General features: G+C 56.5%; 1 protein-coding gene across 2 annotated transcripts, besides 3 other annotated features; it reads left to right on the top strand.

The window, feature by feature from the left end:
• Window positions 36–16,975, top strand: ACTN3 (actinin alpha 3). Of its 2 annotated transcripts, none has more exons than NM_001258371.3 (21): window positions 36–427; window positions 4,880–4,994; window positions 5,169–5,288; window positions 7,686–7,772; window positions 8,177–8,264; window positions 8,771–8,849; window positions 8,927–9,008; window positions 9,786–9,871; window positions 10,774–10,866; window positions 11,340–11,570; window positions 11,668–11,815; window positions 12,877–13,027; window positions 13,609–13,717; window positions 13,812–13,952; window positions 14,214–14,396; window positions 14,868–15,002; window positions 15,099–15,278; window positions 15,663–15,809; window positions 15,898–15,963; window positions 16,437–16,595; window positions 16,676–16,975. In NM_001258371.3, the coding sequence occupies exons 1-21, from the start codon at window positions 152–154 to the stop codon at window positions 16,832–16,834; spliced, it is 2,835 nt and encodes a 944-aa protein (NP_001245300.2). In that variant the 5' UTR covers window positions 36–151; the 3' UTR covers window positions 16,835–16,975. The 2 variants fall into 2 exon arrangements, with proteins under 2 accessions (NP_001245300.2, NP_001095.2); NM_001104.4 differs by lacking the exon at window positions 36–427 and adding an exon at window positions 544–725.
• Window positions 112–171: an enhancer, noted in NCBI's record as "active region_5048". NCBI's record gives its function as "activates an Ori minimal core promoter by ATAC-STARR-seq in GM12878 lymphoblastoid cells {active_cell/tissue: GM12878}" and the evidence as "EXISTENCE:reporter gene assay evidence [ECO:0000049][PMID:35858748]".
• Window positions 242–291: an enhancer, noted in NCBI's record as "active region_5049". NCBI's record gives its function as "activates an Ori minimal core promoter by ATAC-STARR-seq in GM12878 lymphoblastoid cells {active_cell/tissue: GM12878}" and the evidence as "EXISTENCE:reporter gene assay evidence [ECO:0000049][PMID:35858748]".
• Window positions 2,859–3,153: a silencer, noted in NCBI's record as "tiled region #1034; HepG2 Repressive non-DNase unmatched - State 10:DNaseD, and K562 Repressive non-DNase unmatched - State 22:ReprW". NCBI's record gives its function as "represses a minimal TATA promoter and a strong SV40 promoter by Sharpr-MPRA in HepG2 and K562 cells {active_cell/tissue: HepG2 | K562}" and the evidence as "EXISTENCE:reporter gene assay evidence [ECO:0000049][PMID:27701403]".

Raw genomic sequence — 17,063 nt, forward strand, 5'->3', positions numbered from 1 at the left:
CATTCTCCCCTACTCCCCACAGCCGCCCCGATATTAATAGCCCTGCCGCAGCCCATCCAGCTGGCTCAGAGCCGTTCCCCATGCCCGGGTGTCTCCATCACCCCAGAAAACATGCAAAACAGCTCGGCGCCTCTGTGTTCCTGACTGTGAAATGGGGATAGGGCTCTGTGTCCCACCAGCGAGGTGCTGGAAGAGGCTCACGAGGAGCTCCAGAGGGCAGCCTCTAGAGCGGCCCGCGGCCACTATTATTATCGGCCTTTCTATTGTGGAGAGGAGTAAACAGACTCAGAGAGGTCCCGTGGATTTCTCAAGGTCACACAGCGCCCCAGCAGCGGAGCAGGAATGCAAACCCAGGATCTCCGCCGCGAGATCCACCCCGGCGCCCCCGAGTCCCGCAGTTCCCGGCTTCAGGACAACCCCTTGCCAGGTCCAACCCGAGCTCCTTCACCCCCATCCGGCCCCTCCCTCCTCCCCCATATTTAGTGCGAATTCGATCTGGGGCTGGGCTGGGCCCTACTTAATGGGGCCCGGGTGTCCGAGAGCGTGCCGAGCGGAGCGAAGCCAGGAGCCCGATCGAGATGATGATGGTTATGCAGCCCGAGGGTCTGGGGGCCGGGGAGGGGCGCTTTGCGGGCGGCGGCGGGGGCGGCGAGTACATGGAACAGGAGGAGGACTGGGACCGCGACCTGCTGCTGGACCCGGCCTGGGAGAAGCAGCAGCGGAAAGTGAGTGCTCGCCCATTTCCTGACAGCAAAACCGAGGCCTGAGAGGCCGGGCTGTTTGTCCTGGGCATCTCAGCAGTGCAGGGGCAGAGCTTGTCTTTAACCTAGAGTGCTAATCCCCAGCCCAGGCTCTGCCCATCAGCTGCCTGCTGTCCCCAGGGCTGGAGGAGAGGGCTGGGAGCCCTCAAGAGGGGTTTAAAATGACAAGAGAGTTTCTGGGCTCCCCACCCCCACCAGGGTTCATTCCCCTGGGCCCACTGCCCCACTTCTGCTGCTGAAAACAGGCTGGGCAAACCCCAGGAGATCCAAGTTAGGGGGGGTTCAGAAAGAAGAATCTTCTTCTAGTTAAATATTCCCAGACCCCACCCTGAAGGCTTGCAGTCAGGCAACTAGTGGACTTGGGAGTGTGGGGGTAGTGAGAAGGGTCCTCTCAGACCCCACCCCACCTCGTCTCCAGGGTGGGGTCCATAGTCGCTGTATCTCATTTAACAATTGAAGAAACTGAAGCCCAGAAAGAGCACAGACAGGCCCCACATCACAGACTGTCAGACATCAGGACCCCCGCAACCTGAGGATCTTTACCCTTTTCCCTACCCCCATTCTTTCCCAAGATACCCCAGGCATGGGGCCCTGAGTCTGCTGAAAAGGCCATAGGTCGGGGAGGAGGGGAGACCTGGGTCCCCTTACGCTGTAACCTGACTCTCCAGCCAGATGGACACTTAGTGCTGAGGCAGCACCTCGGGGGCGCCAAAGAGGGGCACAGGGGCAGCTGCTACCCAGGCCCAGCCCGTTGGGCACTCAGGGCCCCTCCCTCCCTGAGCTATTTTCACTCCCAGACTTTCCCAAGTAGAGGGGGCAGGACACCTGGGTTCCCAAAGGGAAAATGATCCAGGCCAGAGGGAGAATACTTTGGAGAGTGGCAGGCCAGGGGTAACCAGGAGGGCACTATGAGGCCATTGGACCCTGCTCAGCGTGTGCCAACACTGTATGACTCCAGGAGAGGGCAGGGTACTGGGGTACTCAGTGGAATTTAAATGACCTGAGAGTCCCAGAATTTAGAATCAGAGTACTTCTGCTGGGTTAGATGACAGGAGATGACCCCAAGGGCCGAGAGGCTCCGCTGACTCGGCTGGGGTGCCCCGGGTGACAGGCCTCCCCTTAGGCTCCCCCTGCACCTGTCTCCAAGCACGGCTGCAGTCCCAGGTTTGGCAATTTCCCGGTGGTGTCATCCCTGTCCTTGGCTCCAGCTGCCACCTGTTCTGCAACATCTCCTATCCCTACCCCCACCCACCCGGGCCTCTCCGAGATCCAGGTCTGCGTGCCCCCCATATGACACGTGCCAGTCTGTAACTTGCCTTTGTCACCTAACAAATTATCAGGAACATCTGTTCATCCCAACTTGCAGTCACCATCTCATCATCTACTCATTCAATGGCTGGCACAGCATAGAGGATCTGAAAATCAATCAGCATCCCTTGTAGTTGGACATTTGGCTCATTTCTTTCTTGTCCAGCGTTGTTTATTGCAAGGTGGTAATAAACATCCTTGTGCTCAGCTTTAGCCCTGACCCCTCCCTGTTGCTCTATGCTCCCTTTCTCCCCAGTGACTCCTCCATCCAAGGGCTTCCTTCACACAGTCTTGGAGCAGCACGCTGCCTCCTCCCACCTGATGTCTTACCATGTGCCAGCGCTGTTTCAGGTGCTGGAATTCGGCAGCAGACAAAATAAAGCCCCTGCCATGGGAGCTTACATTCCAACATTTCTGTCTCATCCATCCAATCCTGCCTTGTCCCCCACACTGACACCCTTCCTCTCTTGCCCTGATCCCAGTGACTGCGTCCTCACTTCTGCCTTCTGCCACGCCAAGCCATTCATCTCCACTCTGCAACCAGCATGGACAGTTCTGCCCACCTCCCTCCTGCCTGAGGCTTCCCTGACTCTCTGTTGCCCTCCGGATCAAATTTTAACTCCCCAGCTTAGCACCCAAGATCACACATGACCTGGCTCCTGCTGCCCCTCCGGCCTGCCTCTCACCACTTATACCCCAACAATCCCAGCTCCATTCCAGCAGTGCCCAGATCCTTGTAGTCTGACAAATGTAGCAAGTGTTTCTCACAGCCACCGAGCACTTGCCTGCATGGCAGCCCCTGCCTGAAATGCCCTTGCCTGCCCTTCCCTTCCTGAATAATTCCTGCCCATCACAGCTCTGATCAAATACTCGCCTTCCCCAAGAGGGGACCCTGATCCGCAGCGTCCCTCCCATAAATTCCTCGGCAACCTCTTACAGCGCTTCTCAGACCAAAATGACTCTTGGATGGACTGTGAGCTCCCTTAGGGCAGGAACCACATCTCATTAAGAGTCTTGTTTGGGCTGGGAGTGGTGGCTCATGCCTGTAATCCCAGCACTTTGGGAGACGGAGGGGGGCGGATCACCTGAGGTTGTAAATTCAAGATCAGCCTGACCAATATGGAGAAACCCCATCTCTACTAAAAATACAAAATTAGCAGGGCGTGGCGACGCATGCCTGTAATCCCAGCTACTTGGGAGGCTGAGGCAGGAGAATCGCTTGAACCAGGGAGGCAGAGGTTGCAGTGAGTAGAGATCGCACCATTGCACTCCAGTCTGGGCAACAAGCGCGAAACTCTGTCTCCAAAAAAAAAAAAAAAAAAAAAAAGAGTCATGTTTGGCACCACCCAGACCTGCCTATCCCCCTGCCCTTTCCAAACTCAAAGCATCTTAGACTCCAGGGTTGGAGGGAACTGTGGGAAATCTAACTGCCCTATTCAGTGCTTAGGTTCCCATCAAGTTGTACTCAGTGTCTACTTACATACCTCCAGTGATGGGAAGCTCACTCCCTTTCCTTAGCAATGACAGCCCCTCAAGTATTTAACGCATCATCTTCCATGTCCAGCTCCCAGGGCATCTGGCAAGCTGGTCTGAGGAAGGAAAGGTGGCTGAGGGGAAGAATTCCAAATGGCTCCCAGGGCCACCTCCCAGGAGTATCTGCTTTGTGGTGTGGGGATGCTCTGAATCCAAGAATCCTGCCAGGCTGGAAGAAGAAAGACCTGAGACATCATAGATTCTGATCCTTTAATTACACAAATGGGAAGACCAAGCCCCGAAGAGGGAAAGGGGCTGACCCTAGATCACAGAGCATGAGTGGCTCAGTTGGCCTTGGAGCCCACCCTGACTCTACCAAGTAGTCTATGGAAAGGCAGAATTCAGGACCTGAAGGGCGGTAGGTTGGCAGAAACTTGTGTACCAAGTGTCGTGTCACCCCTATCCCCAACAGACACACAGCCCTGTACCATCCCTCCCATCTCAGAAGGAGGCTGAGGCTGAGGCTGACTTTTGGGGAAGGGGTGGGCAGTCACCCCTAGAAATGAGATCAGACCAGGCATGGTGGCTCATGCCTGTAATCCCAACACTTTGGGAAGCCAAGGCAGGAGGATCACTTGAGCCCAGGAGCTTGAGACCAGTCTGGGCAACATAATAAGACCGAGGCAGGAGGATCACTTGAGCCCAGGAGCTTGAGACAAGCCTGAGCAACATAGTAAGACCGTCTCTCTCTAAAAAAACAAAATGAGATCAGGCTGGGCCCGAGTGCCAGCTGACGCTCCAACAGCCCTCAGAGTCCTTACTCATGTAGGGTCTACTTGGAGGCCAATTTACAACAACCCTAGAAGGTCAGTAGCACTGAGAAAACAGAAACACAGAGACAGTCCCTTAGGCAAAACCCTGAGGGCCAGATGTGCTTGAGTCCAGGAGTTTTCAGATTTCAGAAAGGCAATATCACCCTGCACTGGCTCCTATGGTTCAAAACCTCAGAGGGCCCCACATTTTGAATGTGTTAACATTTTCTAAGGGCCCTCCAGTGTTTAAGACCCCCAAGGCTGGGGTGCTGGTGGCCGGGTGCCCCAAGTCTGAACTGGGACCTGCATGGGTCACAGACCCCATTTCTCCCCTCTCAGGAAAACGAAAGCTCAGAGAGGGAAAGGGACTGGCCCAGGATGCACAGCAAGTCAGTGGCTGAGCTGAGCTGAGACTTGAATCCAGAAATACAAGGCTCTGAGACCTACCCTGACTGAGGAGACAGGACTGTGCCCTACATCCCCCAGAGCCAGTCGTAGGGTTTGAGTGCTGTCCTCTGCCCCTAGACCTTCACTGCCTGGTGCAACTCACACCTGCGCAAGGCAGGCACCCAGATCGAGAACATCGAGGAAGATTTCCGCAATGGCCTCAAACTCATGCTGCTCCTGGAGGTCATTTCAGGTGAGGATGGCAAATCAGTGCACCTGGGCCCCAGGACCCAGGAACATCTGGACAGCAGGGGGAATAGGGTGGCGGAGTGTTGGACGGGACTTGGTGGGGAGGGGAGAGTTTGCGGACAATAGCTTCAGCTGCCTCTCATGACCTTTGGCCCTTGGCCTCTCCTCTTAAACCCAGGTGAGAGGCTGCCTAGGCCAGATAAAGGCAAGATGCGCTTCCACAAAATCGCCAACGTTAACAAGGCCCTGGACTTCATTGCCAGCAAGGGGGTTAAACTGGTGTCCATTGGTGCTGAAGGTGAGGAGGTGGCAGGAAGGGTCTTGGGCAGGGCACAGGGGCCTCTCTTGACATCAGCAAATCACCTCTGTGAGCCTCAGTTTCCTCATCTCAGCAATGAGAATAATCCCTGCCTCGCAAGAGAGCCTGTAAAGAGCCAGTATGCCAGCCAGGCACGGTGGCTCACGCCTGTAATCTCGGCACTTTGGGAGGCCAAGGCCAGTGGACTGCTTGAGGCTAGGAGTTTGAGACCAGCCTGGCCAACATGGCAAAACCCTATTTCTACTAAAAATACAAAAATCAGCTGGGTGTGGTGGCGCACACCTGTAATCCCAGCTACTTGGGAGGCTGAGGCACAAGAATTGAATGAACCTGGGAGGTGGAGCTTGCAGTGAGCCGAGATCACACCACTGCACTCCAGCCTGAGCAACAGAGCGAGAGACTCTGTCTGAAAGAAAAAAAAAAAATGCCGGCCAGGCCTGGTGGCTCACACCTGTAATCCCAGCACTTTGGGAGGCTGAGGTGTGGGGCTCACGAGGTCAGGAGATCAAGACCATCCTGGCCAACATGGTAAAACCCTGTCTCTACTAAAAATACGCTGGGTGTGGCGGCGCGTGGCTGTAATCCCAACTACTTAGGAGGCTAAGGCAAGAGAATCACTTGAACCCGGGAGGCCGAGGTTGCAGTGAGCTGAGATCTTGCCACTGCACTCCAGCCTGGGTGACAGAGCTAGACTCCGTCTCAAAAAAAAAAAAGAAAGAAAAGCCAATATACCCAAAGTGCCAGCTCAGCCCCCAAACCCTAGTAAGAGTTTAGTGAAATAATTGCTAAATAACAAGCCAGGCATGGTAGCGCTGTAGTCTCAGCTACTTGGCAGACTGAAGCGGAAGGATTGTTTGAGCCCGGGAATTGGAGATCAGCCTGGGCAACATAGCAAAACTCCATCTTGGCCAGGCACAGTGGCTCACCCCTGTATTCTCGCACTTTGGGAGGCCAAGGCAAATGGATCACCCTGAAGTCAGGAGTTTGAGACCATCCTGGCCAACATGGTGAAAGCCTGTCTGTACTGAAAACACAAAAATTTGCTGGGCATGGTGGCGCACGCCTGTAATCCCAGCTACTCGTGAGGCTGAGGTAGGAGAATCCCTTGACCCTGGGAGGCGGAGGTTGCAGTGAACCAAGATTGCACCATTGCACTCCAGCCTGGGTGACAAGAGAGACTCTGTCTCTCTCTCTCTCTCTCTCTCTCTCTCTCACACACACACACACACACACACACACACACAAAGAGAAAACTCCATCTCAAAAAATTCCCAAAACCAACCAACTAAACAAAAAAATAGATGCGGGCCAGGGGTGATGGCTTACACCTGTAACCCCAGCACTTTGGGAGGCCAAGGCAAGCAGATCATGAGGTCAGGAGTTCGAGACCAGCCTGGCCAATACAGTGAAATCCATCTCTACTAAAAATACAAAAATCAGCTGAGCATGGTGGCATGCACCTGTAGTCCCAGCTACTCGGGAGGCTGAGGCAGAAGAATTGCTTGAACCAGGGAGGCAGAGGTTGCAGTGAGCTGAGATCATGCCACTGCACTCCAGCCCGGGCAACAGAGCAAGACTCTGTCACCCCCCAAAAAATAGATGCAGCTGGGTGCAGTGGCTCACGACTGTAATCCCAGCACTTTGGGAGGCTGAGGTGGGCAGATCATTTGAGGTCGGGAGTTCGAGACCAGCCAGGCCAACATGGTGAAACCCCATCTCTCCTAAAAATACAAAAAAATTAGCCGGGTTTGGTGGTGCAGCCTGTAGTCCCCGCTATTAGGGAGGCTGAGGAAGGAGAATCACTTGAACCCAGGAGGCGGAGGTTGCAGTGAGCTGAGATTGCACCACTGTACTCCAGCCGGGGCAAAGAGGGAGACTCCATGGGAAAAAATTATAATAAAAAAAAAGAAAAGAAAAAGAGGCCAGACACGGTGGCTCATGCTTGTAATCCCAGCACTTTGGGAGGCCGAGGCAGGCAGATCATGAGGTCAGGAGATTGAGACCATCCTGGCTGACATGGTGAAACCCCTTCTCTACTAAAAATAAAAAAAATTAGCCGGGCGTGGTGGTGGGCGCCTGTAGTCCCAGCTACTCAGGAGGCTGAGGCAGGAGAATGGTGTGAACCTGGGAGGCGGAGATTGCGCCACTGCACTCCAGCCTGGGTGACAGAGCGAGACTCCATCTCAAAAAAAAAAAAAAAAAAGAAAAAGAAAAAGAGATGCTTATTGAGCACCTGCTAGGTGCTCACCTACTAGGTGCCAGCCCTGAAATGGGAGACAAGGGCCAGAGGGCTGATCAGAGGGGAAGGTAAGCTGAGGCCAGATAGCACAGACCTTGAATGCCAGGCAAATCTGTCCCCTGACCCCTGCCCTGCAGAGATTGTTGACGGGAACCTGAAGATGACCCTGGGCATGATCTGGACCATCATCCTTCGCTTCGCCATCCAGGACATCTCTGTGGAAGGTGAGCAATGGGAAAGGAGGTTGGGGCCAGGTGCAGTGGCTGGGGCCTGTAATCCCCACAGTTTGGGAGGTCGAGGCGGGCAGACCACTTGAAGGATCGCCCAGGAGTTCAAGACCAGCCTGGACAACATGGTGAAACCCCATCTCTACAAAAAATACCAAAAAAAAAAAAAAAAAAAAAGCTGGCCATGGTGGCATGTGCCTATAGTCCCAGATACTAGGGAGGCTGAGGTAGGAGGATCGCTTGAGCCTGGGAGGTTGAGGCTGCGGTGAGCCATGATCGTGTCACTGCACTCCAGTTGGATGACATAGCAAGACCCTGTCTCAAAAAAAAAAAAAAAAGAAGTGTGAGAGGGCTGACCTGGACCCCTTCCCAATGAATCCTCCCACCTCCCCCCGACCCAGAAACCTCAGCCAAGGAAGGCTTGCTTCTGTGGTGCCAGAGGAAGACAGCACCGTACCGCAACGTCAACGTGCAGAACTTCCACACCAGGTCTGTCAGGTGGTTACCAAATGTGTCTGGGCCTCTGTGGGGTACTGGGCATAGAGAGGAGCCCTCCCTGGTCAGTGAAGGGCACTGAGCTGGTCTCTGTCACAAGCCACAGGGAAGGAAAGGTCACAGTTCCTGGAACAGTGTCTGAAAAGAGGGCTCAGTAACTGTTGAGTGGAATGGAATTGAATCCAGGAGGGTTCCAGTAACTCCTGGAGGAGGGAGTGTTTGAGACTTCCCTGGAAGGCCATTCCAGCCAGAGGGAAGCTGGAGGCCAAAAATATTTAGAAACTGGTCGGGCCTAAGCATGAGTGTGTGACGGAATCGTGATGAGCTAGCAGGAGATGGTCCAGATCTGGTCATGAAGGGCCTCAAACGCCAAGCTAAGGGATTTGTACTTTACTCCATTTTACAGATGAGGCTGTCCTTCTGGGGGGTGCTCCTGGGCCGAGGGGAGAACGGGGCCCCAGCTTGAACCCAGGCCTGACCCCCCTCTTCTCTCTGTCCAGCTGGAAGGATGGCCTGGCCCTCTGTGCCCTCATCCACCGACACCGCCCTGACCTCATCGACTACGCCAAACTGCGAAAGGTAGAGGCCCCCACCACCCCAGCCCAAGGCCTCTGCCTGCAGCTGACCTTTCACCCTCCTCCCTTACACCCTTCTAGGATGACCCCATCGGAAACCTGAACACTGCCTTTGAGGTGGCAGAGAAATACCTGGACATCCCCAAGATGTTGGATGCAGAAGGTGAGAGTGAGCTAGCCCAGGGGAAGACCCCACATTCTCCACACTGGGCCTGGTACAACCTCCACACCTTTGCACGGCCCTTTCCTCCTCCTGGGATGCTCCGACCACCCCCACCCCACTCCCTGGTCACAGTCCCCCTTCTCCAGGAGTCCTCTATCTTGTCCCATGCCCCATCCCCCAAAGAGGACCATCCTCTGCCACCTCTCCCCTATGTAATGGCCCTACCTTCTGCCTCACATCCCAGTTACCTGGGTTACCTGGGATGTTGGTCCCCCAAGACTGGCAGCTCCCCTGGGGCACGTCCTGCCTGTGGTCCCCATGCCTAGGCAAGGCAATAGTCAACTGAAGCAGCAAACACTTTCTGAGCATCTACTATGCATGATGCCCAGGCTGTGTGGGCACTGCTGGAGAAGAACTTTTTCTTGCCCTGAGGAGCTTGTGGACTTGGGGGAAAGACACACAGACCGAGGGAGGTATAGGATAGTTCAAGGCATGAGACAGCGTGGACCAGTCCCTCACGAGGGCCACAGTGGCTGCCCACTCACACTCACCCACCCAGTCCCTCACACTTTGCTCACCCCAAGGTGGGGAGATGGGGAAGTTGCTGAGCCCTGGGGTAAGGAGAGAGGGCTTCAAGGAAGAGAAGACACTGGGCTTGGGTGGCTGGCTGCTGGTGGCCATGACTGGATGCTTCCAGCCCTCCCACCCAGAGAGAGTTCTCTGCCTGGGGAGGGACCCCTGGCTTTGGCCAGTAGACACCGTGCTGTCCTCCCCTAGACATTGTGAACACCCCAAAGCCGGATGAGAAGGCCATCATGACCTATGTGTCCTGCTTCTACCATGCCTTTGCCGGGGCTGAGCAGGTAAGGCGGCCCAACTGCTGCTGCCTGGGCTTGTGGACCCAAGGGCCCAACCTTGGCTGTAGTCCAACATTGGAGGCGCCAGACCACGGAGGTTGGAGTGCCACTGTGCCAGCTGCACACACTCAGTCTTCAGCAGGAGCAGAGGACCCTGGTTTGGAAACTCACTCCCTACCTAAGAGCCGTGCTCCCCCAATCCCTTTCCCAATTTGCAGGGACTCCATTCTTTGTTTGTTTTTTGAGACAGAGTCTCACTCTGTCATCCAGGCTGGAGTGAAGTGGCGTGATCACGGCTCATTGCTGCCTTGACCTCAGCCTCCTGCCTCAGCCTCCCCAGTAGCTGGGACTACAGGCACGTGCTACCACACCTGACTAATTTTTGTATTTTTTGTAGAGATAGTGTTTCATCATGTTGCCCAGGCTGGTCTCGAACTCCTGGACTCAAGTAACTCACCCACCTCAGCCTCCCAAACTGTTGGGATTACAGGCATGAGCCACCACGCCCAGCTGGGGGCTCTGTTTTTGTTTGTTTGTGTTTTGTTTTGTTTTTTGAGACGGAGTCTTGCTCTGTCGCCCAGGCTGGAGTGCAGTGGGGCGGTCTCGGCTCACTGCCAGCTCTGCCTGCCAGGCTCACGCCATTCTCCTGCCTCAGCCTCCCAGGTAGCTGAGACTACAGGCGCCCACCACCACGCCCGGCCAATTTTTTTGTATTTTTAGTAGAGACGGGGTTTCACCGTGTTAGCTAGGATGGTTTCGATCTCCTGACCTCGTGATCCGCCCGCCTCGGCCTCCCAAACTGCTGGGATTACAGGCGTGAGCCACCGCGCTCGGCGGGGCTCTGGGTTTTAAGGGCTTTACAGAAGCAATTTGCTTTAATGCCAGCCTTCTGCCCACTCCCCCCACAGGCAGAGACAGCTGCCAACAGGATCTGCAAGGTGCTGGCAGTGAACCAGGAAAACGAGAAGCTGATGGAGGAGTATGAGAAGCTTGCCAGTGAGGTGAGGCTGGGCTCCCACCGTGCTCTCCCCACCCCAGCCCTACTGGCTCTCCCAACCCTGCTAACCCCAAGCGTGGGCCTGCAGAGCCTCCCTCTGCTCAGAGTAGCCCTGGCTTCCTCCCAGCCTCCTCCTGTCCATCCCCACCCATCACCTGCCCTTCTGCCAACCCATGCTCCTGTCAGTCATTGATTCACTCATCATTCATCCATTTACTTCTGCATCGATCCATTCACTTGTATTTAAGTAGTCACATGGCCCTCTGCTCTGTGCCAACCTATACTAGCCCCTGGACTCAGAAATCAACCATCCCACTTCTTCTCTGACTTGTGGGGACTACCCCATCCTGCTTTCGTAGTTGTCAAAGTCACCCCCACCTACACTCTGGCCACAGCCTGGGTGTGGGTGGAGAGGGGTGGGTGAGCTGGGCAGGTCAGCGCAGAGCTGTCTGCCTTGCCCCTGCCTGGCCCTGTCAGCTGCTGGAGTGGATCCGCCGCACTGTCCCATGGCTGGAGAACCGTGTGGGTGAGCCCAGCATGAGTGCCATGCAGCGCAAACTAGAGGACTTTCGGGACTACCGGCGTCTGCACAAGCCGCCCCGCATTCAGGAAAAGTGCCAGCTGGAGATCAACTTCAACACACTGCAGACCAAGTTGCGGCTCAGCCACCGGCCTGCCTTCATGCCCTCCGAGGGCAAGCTGGTCTCGGTGAGCTCTACACACATTCCCTAGGTGACCTTGAGGTCCGTATCCCATCTGTACAATGGGCAAACCGTGATGGAGCGCACCCCTGCCTGCTCCACAGGACATCGCCAACGCCTGGCGGGGGCTGGAGCAGGTGGAAAAGGGCTATGAGGACTGGCTGCTCTCGGAGATCCGGCGCCTGCAGCGACTCCAGCACCTGGCTGAGAAGTTCCGGCAGAAGGCCTCCCTGCACGAAGCCTGGACCCGGGGTAGGTAGACCTACCTCATGGGGCTGGACTGTCTCTTGGGGTGGAGATTGGTGTGCAGGGGCAGGAGGGGAGGTTCTTGGCAAAATGCACAGGACAAGGGTAGGTGCTCTGCAGGAAAGCCAGAGACTGGATTTCTAGTCCCACCCTGACTTGCTGTGGTGCAACCTAGGCCTCTCTTTTGGCCACTGCCCCTCTGTGGACCACAGTTTGTTTTGTTTTTTGAGACAGAGTCTTGCTCTATTGCCCAGGCTAGTACAATCTCGGCTCACTACAATCTCTGCCTCCCAGGCTCAAGCGATCCTCCTGCCTCAGCCACCCAAGTAGCTGGGACCACAGGCGTGCACCACCACGCCCAGTAACTTTTTGTACTTTTTGTAGAGATGGGTTCTCACTTTGTTGCCCAGGCTGGTCTCAAACTCCTGGACTCGAGTGATCCACCCACCTCAGCCTCCCAAAGTGCTGGGATTACAGGAATGAGCCACCGCACACCCGCCTGTTTTCTATAAACTCAGCCTTCCCCCTCACCCCCCAGCCCTGCTCTGGTCTTCTGTAGATCTGCTCTGATTAATTCAATTTAGCATTTTATTTTATATGTGTCAGGTGTTCAAAGGTGAGTCCATTCCTCACCCTAACATCACTTATGTCATACTCAAAGTATACTGACGCTAAAATATTGCACGAGTCAAATATATTACTCTGGATAGAAACATCCATTCATTGTTCTGTCGAGGATTTCTGTAGTGAACAAAGGAGGCCGGGTCAGGGGCTCATGGGGGTTACAGAATCGTTGAGAGCTATTTTAAGGTCAAATTATGCTAAAACTGTACCAAGGGCCCCCTGGACGTAGCTCGCTCAGGGGACGCTGATGTCATTTGCGGATCACGCCACGGAAGAGGACTTTCACCTACGTTATTACACCGACGCCGCAGAGCAAATCCCTAGGACGAGCTAGGCCGGTGCGATCGCCACCTTAGCAGATGAGGCTTCATGGTCACGCAGCCCGCCGCGCACCCCTGCCCCTGCCGCCACTGGGTGACCGGAGCCGGCATCTCTTTGAGCAGGAAAGGAGGAGATGCTGAGCCAGCGCGACTACGATTCGGCTTTGCTACAGGAGGTGCGGGCGTTGCTGCGGCGCCACGAGGCCTTTGAGAGCGACCTGGCGGCGCACCAGGACCGCGTGGAGCACATTGCCGCGCTGGCCCAGGAGCTCAAGTAGGCGGGGCCTCGCGGGGCCCGCCCCCAACACCCCCGGCCCCGCCCCCGGTGGCGAGCCCCACCCTGATCCCCATTGCCCTTCTCAAGACACTAGGCTCTCCTGGGTTCTGTAACCCCGCCGTGGTACCCAGGTCCCATTCGCTCCGCCCCTCCTGGAACCCCACCCCCACCTCCGGACCCCGCTCTGCTGCTCACACTCTTCCCACTGGCGCTTGACCTGTCTCACTCCGTGACCTGCCCTCTAACCTGCCCGCTCTCTTCACCCGGCTTACTGCTCCAAACCCTCCCCATCAGCCTTGGCCTGGCCACCCCCTCCCATGAACCCGCCCCTTCTTGCGCAACCCCGCCCCTCCACCCAAGCACCTCCATGGACTGCAGCTAAGGACCCGCGGGCGCCCACCTGCCCAGAGGGATGCGCTGGTACCGCCCCTCTTGGAAAGCACCCAGCTTTACCCACCACCTGCCCTGGCTCCCGCACGCCTTCACCCCCATCCGGGGAGCAGGTTCCAGCCCTGGGAGTGCAGTTAGGACATCTGGGCTGGGGCTGGCCCCACACTCGCCCTACTTCTCGCTCCCAGTGAGCTGGACTACCACGAGGCAGCCTCAGTGAATAGCCGCTGCCAGGCCATCTGCGATCAGTGGGACAACCTGGGCACCCTGACCCAGAAGAGGCGGGATGCGCTAGAGGTGGGGCTGGGGGCCGGGGAGCTGGGGGGTGGGTAGGTGGGTGAGGCCAGGTCTGCAGGGCAGGCTTCTGACCCACTACGCCTCCCACCTCTAGCGGATGGAGAAGCTCCTGGAGACCATTGACCGGCTGCAACTGGAGTTTGCCCGGCGGGCCGCGCCCTTCAACAACTGGCTGGATGGTGCCGTGGAGGACCTGCAGGACGTGTGGCTGGTACACTCTGTGGAGGAGACCCAGGTGGGTGCCAGGGTTGCAGGGGATGGATAGGATGACAGGAAAGCTGGCCCCAAATTCTGCCACCCACAACTTTAGGCTCCTGGGGCATAGGGATGGGAGGAAAACCCCAGTTCCCGAGTGCTGGGCTGGAAGACAGGAGGCCGGGGTTCTTGTGTCAGGACTGCCCAGGACTGGTGGGTGGCCTGGGGCACACTGCTGCCCTTTCTGTTGCCTGTGGTAAGTGGGGGACACCAGCTGACACTTCCTGCCTGTCGTCCCCAGAGCCTGCTGACAGCGCACGATCAGTTCAAGGCAACACTGCCCGAGGCTGACCGAGAGCGAGGTGCCATCATGGGCATCCAGGGTGAGATCCAGAAGATCTGCCAGACGTATGGGCTGCGGCCCTGCTCCACCAATCCCTACATCACCCTCAGCCCGCAGGACATCAACACCAAGTGGGATATGGTCAGTGCCACCTGCAGCCTTCCTCCCACCCCCTCCTGCATACTGTGACCACCCTGAAATCTCGGGTGGCCCAAGATATGGAGAATAAAGTCCATCTTCAGATGTGGGGTCTGCCACAGACTCCACGTGGGATTGGATAAATCGCCTTGCCTGTCTCGGGCTCATCTGTATATGATGAGCTGTAACAGCAGCATTCTCCTGTCAGGACTGATGTGAAGTAGAATTAAGCCTTGTGTGTGGACATCTTTTATAAATCCACCCATATTAGTAAATGATGCCATCAGCCCCATTTTGCAGATGAGAAAACTGAAGCCCACATGGGTTAGTGACTTGCCCAAGAGCTTTCTCGTATATCCCAGACAAGTTGGCTCAAAGCAACAGGGGCTGAGGTTTGAGGGGCTGGAGCCCATCTCCCCTAAAGCCATTTCCCAGCCCCCAGAGCTGGCTCTGGCATAACTGCCCTCCTCCCAGGTCCGAAAGCTGGTGCCCAGCTGTGACCAGACACTGCAGGAGGAGCTGGCACGGCAGCAGGTAAACGAGAGGCTCCGGCGACAGTTTGCGGCCCAGGCCAATGCCATTGGACCCTGGATCCAGGCGAAGGTGGAGGTAAGGGCTGGGATAGTGGGTCCAACCTGGGGGGATGGGGCCAGGGCTGGGCCACAGGGAGTTGGGAGCCCTCATGCTGCCTGGGAACCCCTGCAGGAAGTGGGGCGGCTGGCAGCAGGGCTAGCTGGCTCTCTGGAGGAGCAGATGGCTGGGCTACGGCAGCAGGAGCAGAACATTATCAACTACAAGACTAACATTGACCGGCTGGAGGGTGACCACCAGCTGCTGCAGGAGAGCCTGGTGTTCGACAATAAGCACACCGTCTACAGCATGGAGGTGGGATCACACCCTCTCAGGAGAGTGGGGAGGCAGCACTGGCTGAGGAGGCCCAGGGAGATCACAGCTGGACAGAGCATGTGTGTCCCAGCAGAGTCCCCAGTTCAGCTTGGCCAGGTCCCTTAAGACCCAGCGATGGAAAGTGACCCTTCCAGAGTCACAAAGCCGTCCAAAACCAGGCCAAGATTGGCCATAGCTGGTTATCAAAAGACAGGAAGGACTGCTGGGGTGGGGGTGGGTTACTCAGTGGAGCCTCCAGATGGGGATGGAGGCCCAGTGAGGGGGAGGACTTGCCCAGGGTCATTCAGTGAACTGGATGTGGAGCTAGAGCCAGTGGCCAGGCACTGGCCGCCCACTGACAGTGGCCTGTCCCCTGACCGCCAGCACATCCGCGTGGGCTGGGAGCAGCTGCTCACCTCCATTGCCCGCACCATCAATGAAGTGGAGAACCAGGTACTGACCCGAGACGCCAAGGGACTGAGCCAGGAGCAGCTCAACGAGTTCCGAGCATCCTTCAACCACTTTGACAGGGTCAGCAGGGGCCTGGCCCTGTGGGGTAAGACACTTGGGGGCTGGTGGAGGCTGGAGACCAAGCCTGATAACCACTCACCCCCTACAGAAGCAGAATGGGATGATGGAGCCTGATGACTTCCGAGCTTGCCTCATCTCCATGGGCTATGACCTGGTGAGAGCTCCCCAGCTCCTTCCCAGGAGTCCCAAAGTACCCCCTCCTCTGTGCTGATCACCTACTGTGCACCTCCCATCTTCACATACACCATCCCCTGCATCTTCACTACATCCACACAGGGGCTAGCAAGGCTCAGGGAGGTAAAACTCACTTGGACCCAGTTCTGTGTGGACCCAAAGTCTGAGCTTGCAACATTTTTACCTGTAGGGAAACAGCACTACAGAAACGGGTGTGGCCCTGGAAAAAAAATCAGGACCAGGGAGCAAATCTGCTTCCTGCTGTGGGTAGGATGCAGATTTCAGCCTACCATAAAGGACTTCCTACAGCCAGGGCTAAGGTCTCTGGAGGAAGGGAACTCCCTTGTTACTGGGGCTCTGCTAGCTGAGGTTGGACAGTCCCCAGGAGGGGACACTGGGAGCCCTCCTGGCTTTAGTGCTCATGGGCATAGTGCCTGGCCTCTATCCCTGCAGGGGGAAGTGGAGTTTGCTCGCATCATGACCATGGTGGACCCCAACGCAGCTGGGGTGGTGACCTTCCAGGCCTTCATAGACTTCATGACCCGAGAGACAGCCGAGACTGACACGACTGAGCAAGTTGTAGCTTCCTTCAAGATCTTGGCAGGAGACAAGGTGAGTCCCAGGCGGTGGAGGGGCTGGTGGGCTAGGGCAGGGCACGGGACCTGTGGGTCCTCAACGCCTCTTCTCCCCAGAACTACATCACCCCCGAGGAGCTGCGGCGCGAGCTCCCTGCCAAGCAGGCCGAGTACTGCATCCGCCGTATGGTGCCCTACAAGGGATCCGGGGCCCCGGCTGGAGCCCTGGACTACGTGGCCTTCTCCAGTGCCCTCTATGGGGAGAGCGACCTTTGACCCCAACCACTGAGGTTCTCTATGCAAGATGGAGAGAGGATGCACCCTGTGGCTGATCCCATCCGTCCCTCGGAGCAAGGGCCTAAGAGAAAAGCCAGCCAAGTGCTTCTGAATAAAGATCCCTCTCTGGGTCTCTCCCCATCTCCTTTTAGTTCCTGAAGCAGAAGCTGGCCCCTCAGGCTCCTGGGCAGGACCAGCTATCCCACCTTGACCCGCCAGGAGTCCCTGC

The sequence above is a fragment of the Homo sapiens genome, chromosome 11 (genome assembly GCF_000001405.40).
Source record: "Homo sapiens chromosome 11, GRCh38.p14 Primary Assembly".
In the NCBI taxonomy this organism is placed as follows: Eukaryota; Metazoa; Chordata; class Mammalia; order Primates; family Hominidae; genus Homo; species Homo sapiens.

Coding starts and splice junctions, on each gene's coding strand:
- ACTN3 (NM_001258371.3), top strand. CDS start 152: ATGGGGATAGGGCTCTGTGTCCCACCAGCGAGGTGCTGGAAGAGGCTC. Junction 7,773..8,176: donor CCAGGACATCTCTGTGGAAG/GTGAGCAATGGG, acceptor CCCCCGACCCAG/AAACCTCAGCCAAGGAAGGC. Junction 16,596..16,675: donor AGATCTTGGCAGGAGACAAG/GTGAGTCCCAGG, acceptor TCTTCTCCCCAG/AACTACATCACCCCCGAGGA.